Genomic DNA, 9,359 nt, shown 5'->3' with positions numbered 1-9,359 from the left:
TATCTCTCCTCCTCGACTGCGGGGGACAGCTAAGATCTGGGACACATTTATGTGAAGCTAACAGCCATGAGCCCAGCATTGCTCTTTTCTCTCCTGAGAAGTTTCTCCTTTTTAACTGTCTCCCTGGACGCCTGGGCTGCCAAAAGAAAATGCCTTTTATCTTCAAATTCTCCTTGTCTTTTCAGAGCTAGGTACTTAAGGGCTTCTCAGTTAGTAGACAGATAAATGGTAACTTTGGCTTTCTTGCTTATAATCAAGAATCATTCCACTAGAAGGATCCATTCTAGTATTCTAGTAGAGAAATCCATAGAGCCTGATTTCTAATTTTCTAATTAAAACGTATTTATACCCTATTCATACTAATATTGAACAGTTCTCAGTTTTCCTTTTAACCACAACTGTGACCTCTCAAGTTCCATTTCCTAAGTGCACCTACTGAAAATAAGGCAGTGTCTTTTTTGCCTGCCAGTGTTGTAAAAAATAGGCATTTTGTAAACACAAATTTTATGAATAGCATATACATATTCATCAAGCTCTTAGGCTAATTTGCAAAGTTCATCACTTGTTGATTCCTACAATAAACTGAAATAAGGAAAGGTACTGCTCAGAACACACTTGAAACAACTTTGGTATAAATATATATATATTTTTGAGACGGAGTCTCGCTCTGTCGCCCAGGCTGGAGTGCAGTGGCGCAATCTCGGCTCACTGCGAGCTGCGCTTCCCGGGTTCACTCACACCATTCTGCCTCAGCCTCCCAAGTAGCTAGGACTACAGGCGCCCGCCACCACGCCCAGCTAATTTTTTTTTTTTTTGTATTTTTAGTAGAGACGGGGTTTCACCGTGTTAGCCAGGATGGTCTCGATCTCCTGACCTCGTGATCCGCCCACCTCGGCCTCCCAAAGTGCTGAGATTACAGGCGTGAGCCCCCGCGCCGGGTCTCAAAAAATATTAATGCCTAGAAATATTTATGTCTCAATACTTGAATAATTATTTTTCTCATGAACCAATGAACTCCAAGCCAGCCCTCTAATGAAGTTCTACTTTATTTTTCTTTAATACTCATTTGAATGTTACGTTAAATTCATATTTTCATAGCCAATAGTTGAAAAGATTGAAAATGCCAATAAACTAATTGACAATATAAAATGTAAAAGTAATTGTGTCACACAGGCTCATGAACTACAGTGGATTTAAAAAGCTGAAGAGCTCAATGCAAGTGCCTTCTACCCGAAGTGTGTGCTCTTGAGGGCACATTCCGCATGGCCAAGCCTTTGTGGTGTCGCCGGGCCTGGCGTCCTCAGCTAGTGGCGCACATCCCCCTGGACTGGTTGTGGACACGACAGCCTCCTCAGATTGGGAAGCGACCTGAGAAGCGGTGCTCGGAAGACAGAGGAGGCTGGCCTGGCGCTCTTCAGGCTGAACTCTGCCTGCGTTGCCTTGCGGTGGGTTCCACAGCAGACGCTTCCCCCTTAAGGGAGATGTTGTGAAAGGAAGGTGCTAACTGTCAGGGGAAGGTGGCGGTGCCAGGCTTTCTGGCTCCAGCTTTGGCTCCTTCTCGCTGTTGTTCTGCTGTCTCTACCTACCGGTCACAGTGGTGCTGGGGACACACGTGTCCCTCTCCCAAGGATCTGGAGCCAAAGGCGCTTTCATGAAAATATTTATTACCCAATAAAAATATTCACCCAGTGCTTCAGCTTACGGTAAACTAAACACATCTATTATTTACAACATAGAAAATTAAAGGCGATGCCCAAGTCCCGGCCTTCCGCAGGGGCGCCGCTCCCGCTGGAGGACGGAAGGGACCAGGGACCGAGGGTGCGCGGGCGCATCCGGGCGCAGGAGGCGGTGCAGGAGTGCGCAGGGCAGCAAGAGTAGCAGGCTGGGCGCGCCCCCGGCGCTCGGCCCGTGAGCGTGGGAGGCCAGGAAGTCTTTCGGGTCTGGAAAAACAGAGAAACCGGAGATGTATGAAATAAAGTGTTCCGGCTCGGTTTGAGAGAGTGCAATAGAAACGCCTGCTCCCTGCCTTCTGCAGGCCCTTTTCTCCTGCGCCCTCACTAGGCTCTGTCCCTGGGACGCGCTGCAGGGTGAGGTGTGCGGAGGCCAGTCCCGGCCGGCTGCACAGAGGGAAGCCTCTAAATGTTTGTAGAACTCGGAGAGCTGAAGGAGAATTACAGTACTGTGTTTAAAGGGGGAACGAACAACAGCCCTTCCGTCTTTTTCATTTGGCCCGTGACCTTTCAGGGAGTCCCGCTCCAGGTCATTGAGCGATGGGGCACATAGACCCGATTTAAAACAGTGCTATAGTATATAAATCAGCTCGCTTCCATCTGCTGCAACAAAGGTTCCACTTTTCCCCAAATGAGTGCTCGAAATATTTCTTTGACGAGGGACAGCTGATAGAGCAGGAGGGTGCAGCCATCCAAAGTCTGGCTGCTGTTCTGAGGAGGCCTAGCCCTGTGAGTGGCGCCGCGCCCCATGGGACTCACCTGCCGGCCCCCTCGCCCACACCGCTGGTCATAGGAGGCCATGCCTGAACGCCTAGTCCCTGTGTCCCCTCCCCACCCCTCACAGCAGGCTTCATTCATGCTGAACCCTGAGGGTCCCTGAGCCTTGGTCTTTGTGTAGCTGGGACCCCAGCCCAGAACAGCGGAATGGGAATCTCTGGAGTGGTGGGGCTGGGCAGGGTCTTGGCTAATGCCCTGGGTGGTGGTTGCCATGTGAAGCGGACAACCTTGCAGGCATGGCAACCAGCACCACTAGAACATTCTCACAAGCGAGTCCAGGCCTGTCTTGGAGTGGGGTCAGGCTGGTAGAAGAGCATGCCCAACTACAGGGATCCTCTCCCCGGGGCCACTGAGCAAAGGCCAGCCACCTCCCTGCCCCCTGACCAGGCCTGCCCTGCCCTCTGCTATACCTCCAGGAGATGTCCTCTGGACTTGGGAACCTGGCATGAGCATGAAACTGGAAATTAACAAGGAATGATGCAGATGAACACCTGCAGCAAGAACCACTCTACACCTGTCCACAGGTAAGCTGTGGTAGCATTGGCCAGGTCAGGCTCACTCCAGGCTTGGGTGCCACCTCCCCATAGCACCCCACCTTGGGAGAGAGGATTGTTCCAGGGGTGCCAGAATCCCCAAACAGGAATGCTAACGTCTAGGCTCAGACGAGGCTCCAGAGAAGCTGGTGCTAAGACAGGCGCTCACAGCATGTGAAGCTATTCAGGTGAGAAAGGGGTCAGCAGTACTGGGTCCGTGCTGGCCTTCCCCTGAGGGAAGGAAACAGGAGGGCTGGACACAGGGTGTATGCTTACAGGCTCAGAGTCAGCTGGTGCCAGGACCTGTGAGAGCCATTCCAATGGCATCCCAGAGGTCTGTAGACTGGGTCTGGCCCACGGATGTTTGTTTGCTTGTTGGTTGGTTGGTGGGTTTTTGCCAGAATGGCATGTTTAAAAATGAGTTTGCAGCAGTGAGGTGAGTCTTCACCGGGCCCCATCTCACTTCCGTGTTACCTGCCCATCTCTGAAGACACCTGAGTTGGCTACATCACTGTGTCATTCCACAGACTCTGAATTTTAGAGTAGTAAACTGTCTCTTGATGCTTGTGAAAACTGATACTTGATGCTTTAGGGCCACAGTAGAAAGAACCACCCCCTTAGACTAACAAGGAGATCCTGGCTAGCTCAGGACTGCGCAAAAGTCCCTGCTACATGGAAGCTTTTCATTCTTGGACCCGCAGAGCATCAGTCAGAGCAAGGAGGGCTCTTGGTGATCCCCAGACAGAGAGTCCCTGCAGCAGCCATGCTTTTGTAGCAACATATTCTATCTTCCACATACTCTTCAAAACCATCATAATCTCCCATTAAAGGATTTAAAACATTTACTTATCTATTACTGTGCTGTTGGCTTTGGAACATGACCAAATTTTCTATATTCTATACAACACTATAAAAAAATCTTCATTTGTTTCATATTTATTCTTTCTTTTCTTTTTAAGAGACAGGGTCTCGCTCTGTCACCCAGGTTGGAGTGCAGTGGTGCAATCATAGCTCACTGTAACCTCACACTCCTAGGCTCAAGTGATCCTTTTGCCTCTCAGCCTCCCAAGTAGTTGGGACCAGAGGTGCTCGTCACCACACCTGGCTAATTTTTTGTAGAGACAGGTCTTGCTATATTGCCCAGGCTGTTCTCGAACTCCTGGCCTCAAGCAATCTTCCCACCTAAGCCTCCTAGAGTGCTGGGATTATAGGCATGAGCCACTGTACCCAGTCATATTGATAATTACTCTTATAGAAAGAGTACAAGAATGGGCCGGGCACGGTGGCTCACGCCTGTAATCCCAGCACTTTGGGAGGCTGAGGTGGGCGGATCACAAGGTCAGGAGATCGAGACCATCCTGGCTAACATGGTTAAACCCCGTCTCTACTAAAAATAAAAAATAAAAAAAGTTAGCTGGGCGTGGTGGCAGGTGCCTGTAGTCCCAGCTACTCAGGAAGCTGAGGCAGGAGAATGGCATGAACCCTGGAGGTGGAGCTTGCAGTGAGCCGAGACTGCGCCACTGCACCCCAGCCCGGGCGACAGAGTGAGACTCCATCTCAAAAAAAAAAAAAGACTACAGGAATGGCACAAGGTAAAGAATCAGACCCTGTTTACTATCTGTAGGAGTTGATCTCTCTGTGTCTCAGCTTCCCCAAATGTAAAAGGTGTACCTACTTCATTGGCTTTCATAAGAGTTAAATGGGATAATGGGTATATAAAGTGCCTGAAATACACTGAGGGCTCCTCTCATGCTGTAACACCCAGAAGAGCTTGCCCTATTGCAATGGCACCTGCCACGGAGGATGTTCCATCTATCATCACTGTTGTCAAACTTCAAGTCATCATAACCACCATCAGCACAGCCATCACCAGCATCACTGTAACTTGCCTTGAAGCAGGATGAATGGGTAAAAGAACACAAAGGTGTTACTGCCCTCTCTGCACCTGACAGATGACTCTGAAGGATGACTGCACTATTTTGTCTAGCTTTGATGAACAGAGGCCACATTTTCAGAGCCATTATCATTGTCCTTGGCAAATAGCAGTCCCAGCACTGGATGTTTCCAAGAATGTAAAATCATGACCAGATATCCTGGAAGTCATGACAGCTAGTCCCTTCCCCACATTCCTGCTGGGGCGGCCTAATGGCAGGTGGGAACTGACTTCATCTGTGAGGACCACACAAGCACCCCCTGTGATTCTGATGCCTGTCCATGAAATCTGTGTCCTCCTGTCTCTAGGGCATAGAGGAGCAGCTGGTGACTTCAGAGGCAGAGGCCCAGCAAAAGGAGCACACATAGAAGAGGGGGTGCTTTGGGAAAATGTGGTCTGCACGGCAGGGGGGGAGTGCTCTTCCCTGCTGGCACCATGCAGAGCTAGCTGAGGAGAAGGGAGCAGGGTGGGAAGTGGGGTTGGGGGCTGTGCCTCTATTAAGAGTGTCCCTTGACTGCTGGTCCTACCAGGGAGAGAAGAGAGGACAGGAAGGTGAAGGAGAGCTAAGCATGCATTGTGTACTCCTCCATTGTGGGCCTCCAAGAGCAAGAGGGAGGCTGGGGGAGCCGGGTTGAAGATCTTTGGGCCACTGGTGCTGCCCTCCATGCAGCCCTAGCAGGACGGCCTGAGAGCGACAGGTGGGAAGTGGGGTTGCGGGGCTGTGCTCTTTGACAGATGGAGGTGCCCAGGGCTGACTGAAGTGGAGGGAGGGGGCAGGAGAGTGGATCAGGGGCCTTGGCTTCATCAGGTGTGCCTCTGGACACTGCACCACCAGCCCACCCAGGCCTGGGAGAGGGCAGAGCTCGGGCTGGGGCCAAGAGGCTGGGCCTTCACTAGCTGTGCCCTCCATTGCTAGCCCCAGCCAGTGATCACCAAAGAGGAGAGGAGAGAAGGCACAGGATTCCAGAGGGAAATGCGGCTCCTGCCTGTGTCCCTGCTGGTCCCACAGCTGAGCAGATGGTGCTGGCCTAGTGCAGGGAAACCACCTGAGATTTACGCAGCTAACTTGTCTCCCAGCTTCCTCTCCGATTACCAGCTGGTCATCTCCTGAAATTCTGCTCACTGAAACGGACATGTGAGGACATGGTTTGGAAATCATTTTTAAACTCAGCAATCTGGATATGAGAACTTCAAAACAAAATTTAATTCACTATATGATTCCCAATGAATGCGACTTTCTTCAATGATGAATCGATCTACTTTGCTAAATGCTATGTGGCCTGGCACTGGAAGATGCACTGTGGATCGGTATGGAGGGTGAGCCGCAATGAAGGCGCAACCGCGTGCGGGGGTGAGCTGGGGACCGAATCACAGGGCCTCTTACCACAGCGGTCAGGCGTCTGGAGGGGGAGGCAGTGCAGGGCCCCGAAGATGCACCTGCAGAGGTGGCAGGCGCGGAGGGTCCAGGCTCCGTGCTCCAGGGCGCCGCATTCACTGAGAAGACGGGGACCTGCATCAATGCGGTGGCCCGCGCGCCCCTCGCCCGGCGCCCACTCCTGCGCCGCTCCCCCACCCGCGCATCCCTCCCCCGGCGCCAACTCCCGCGCCCCCCAACCCGCGCGCCCATCGCCCGGCGCCCACTCCCGCGCCCCCGCACCCGCGCGCCCCTCTCCTGACGCCTACTCCCGCGCCCCCAGACCCGCAGGTCCCTCACCCGGCGCCCACCCCCGTCCCCACCCCGCGCACCCCTGTGCCCACCTGCGCCTCTGGTCATGCTCGCAGTAGCGGCCGGTGAAGTGGGCCGGGCACACGCAGAAGCTGCCCAGCACGCAGGTACCGCCGTTCCTGCAGCAGCGCGGCCGCGCGGACGCACCTGCGGGGTCACCCGGGCGTCAGCCCCGCGCCCCCCGCGGCCCGTGGCCCTCCCCGCAGGGACGGGGCCGAACGTGGCCGCCCAGGGGAGGCAGTAAAATCAGCCTCCAGCCAAGTGTGTTTGCTCAGGTAAACCCTGCTTGTTAGGGATGTGAAACAAACTATCAGGGGTGCGGCCTGCAAGCCGGGCTTGCTCTCTCCCTTCCTTTCACATGTTAACCTCTGGCTGTGGCTTCACCTGACAGTGATTAAGCACAGGCCTCCTGGGCGGGACCACCCACGGGTGTGATGACGCCAAACCCACCGGCGAGGGGCCTCCTGGGGACGCGGTGTCTGGGAGAAGCCAAGCAAGAGTCCGCTGTTATCTTGGCTTGGGATATTTATTTTCAACACATTTAAATCACAGTTCTCTAGATCTGCAGCAAAATAACCATTGAAGAGCAAATACAACGTTTTACCAATGAAAGAGTAAAACTTTTTAACACCTCACTAGGAACTGTCTCTAGCTTTATAGCTTTGTAAGTGCATCATCATTTGAAGATAACAAAATGCTCTCCTTGGATTTTATCCTGAATTTATCCTACATATTCTCAGGTCCTAAACTCTGAGTCCGCAGACTGAGATGACGCCCCGGATTTTGTGGGCAGCGCTGCAACTTACCCTCTCCGAAAGCCCAGGAGTATGGGAGCGGCTCCTCCGGCCCCCAGCCCTCGGCGCTCCCAGTCACCTCTCCGAAATGACTGGAGGTCCAGTTGAGCGGTGACTGTCGGTGCTTCTGAGTGGCAACCTTGGTGACTTCCTCTCTACCGCCGTTATGTTTCTCTCTTTGATAGCCTTTAAAAAATATTGAAAATGTGAGACTGATAATGATTGAGAAACAAATATTTTATGCAATTAAAACTGAAATTATGAATAAAATGTTTCTTACTGTTTCCCAAATTGATGATCTGTAATGCCAAACTGACCGTAAACAGAAGCCTAGAATATTTAAAGAAAATCATTGAAGTTGAAAGTATCTTTAGAAGTATAAGCAGAAATTCACATACACATAAAAATACAATGCCATCATTATATATAAATATAAAATTATGTAAAATAATTATAATGAATAAGGCAATCATTTTGTAACTTGTAGGTTTTTGTTAATTTTGCTATGGCTTAGAAAGATTTTGAGACAGAAAGTGTACACCTCCTTTAATGAACAGTGGCTCATGCACTACGATTTATTCTGAGGCTCTTAAGACCCCTTCTTGGCTCTAAGATCTCATGACCTCTGTCCTTACCTGACATGGTGCCTCCAGGTCATTTTTGGTTTGAGAGTCTCCTTCTCTTAGTGCATTGAAGATCAGTTTCCAGGAAAGCTGAATCTGAAGAGTCTCTGCATTTGAAGGTGTCTTTACTCCAGGCCCCGGGGACACAGAATGGACGAGTACAGAAGATGTGGATGTTCCCTTCCCTTCCTCAGCCAGGAGAAACGGGATGGTATCTTGAGTTCTGCAGTCCCTGAGCTAGGGTCGGGGGCGCAGTGACAGGCAGGCCCCTCCGAGCCTGAAGAACAATTCCCTCTATGAGACCTGGCTGGGGGGTGGGGACTTGGGCTGACTCCCCCCAGCAGTGTTTACAGTGCTGACAGCAGCAGGAGTGACCAATCCCTGATGTAAAACATTGGTATCCAAGGTGACGAGCCATTTTCTCACTGGAAAAAAAAAAAAATCCCAACATGAACAAAAAGCTTTCACAGGAAGGTGGAGATTTTCTACTGCATACTACTTGTACTGGGAGATGGTGAGGGGCCCTGTGGGAGAGGGAGCTCCTGTGTGGGGCACAGGCAACAGCCTGGGGTCCCAGCCGCCCTGAGTGGGGAACACGAGGATAAGGGAAAGCACGTCACCCCTGCTTTAAGAGAGGCCCCCTTACTCTGCAGATGGAGCCTCTTCTCTGTGCCCAGCAAGTGGGGGAGGGGCACTGCCCCCATTTACTATAGGACCCTCTAGGGTAGGCACTATTATTATCCCCCACGTGAAAAGAGAGAAAGGGAGGCTTAGAGAGTTTAAGTCCTTTGGCAGTTAGATCTCTGAGAAACATGAATGGCACCGATATGATGAGGAGATACCCACAGGTATTTAAGGCGAGCCCTTGGGAGCACAGGCGCAACTGCGGCGCCCGCCCATCGCCAGAGGAGCCTGCTGAATCCAAACGGAACCCAAGGAAGGAGTGATTTGGGGTATTTTCTAGCACCTTCTAAATCTGCTTTTCTAACTACCAGAATAGGGACTGAGCCCCTTTTATCAGCACTAAAGAAGACACTTTGCAACCCAGTGTTGCAAATTGTTCTGTGATTTTAATATAAAAACTCATTTCTAAAAATAGTATTCTTCCTCCAAGGCTGAAATAGTCTTTAATGGTGATTTAATTTCTTACATCTTTACGTGTGAGGTTTATTAAAGAGGCTGTTAAATAAAGCAATAGGAAATTGGAGGACCGGGCTACCCTGGGGGGCCTCCCAGCAATGGG

At 51.3% G+C, this 9,359-nt stretch overlaps 1 protein-coding gene across 1 annotated transcript; it reads right to left on the bottom strand.

Annotated features, from left to right (window-relative positions):
- Nucleotides 1-1,032: 1,032 nt before the first annotated feature.
- On the bottom strand, nt 1,033-8,414 carry CFC1B (cryptic, EGF-CFC family member 1B). The gene is made up of 6 exons (NM_001079530.2): nt 8,129-8,414; nt 7,774-7,823; nt 7,506-7,679; nt 6,732-6,846; nt 6,358-6,467; nt 1,033-1,940 (listed from the first exon to the last, which is right to left on the bottom strand). Exons 1-6 carry the CDS (start codon nt 8,149-8,151, stop codon nt 1,741-1,743), a joined length of 672 nt encoding a protein of 223 aa, NP_001072998.1. The 5' UTR covers nt 8,152-8,414; the 3' UTR covers nt 1,033-1,740.
- Nucleotides 8,415-9,359: the final 945 nt, after the last annotated feature.

The sequence above is a fragment of the Homo sapiens genome, chromosome 2 (assembly GCF_000001405.40).
Source record: "Homo sapiens chromosome 2, GRCh38.p14 Primary Assembly".
NCBI lineage: Eukaryota > Metazoa > Chordata > Mammalia > Primates > Hominidae > Homo > Homo sapiens.
Note: the sequence above shows the minus strand (reverse complement) of the source record. Positions and strands in the feature narration are given on the sequence as shown.

Bases quoted from the DNA above. Each gene is read 5' to 3' on its own strand.
- CFC1B (NM_001079530.2), bottom strand. From the start codon at position 8,151: ATGACCTGGAGGCACCATGTCAG. The intron at 7,680-7,773 runs GTAAGAAACATT...TATTTTTTAAAG, and splicing joins GATCATCAATTTGGGAAACA to GCTATCAAAGAGAGAAACAT. The intron at 6,847-7,505 runs GTAAGTTGCAGC...GTGACCCCGCAG, and splicing joins CTCCTGGGCTTTCGGAGAGG to GTGCGTCCGCGCGGCCGCGC.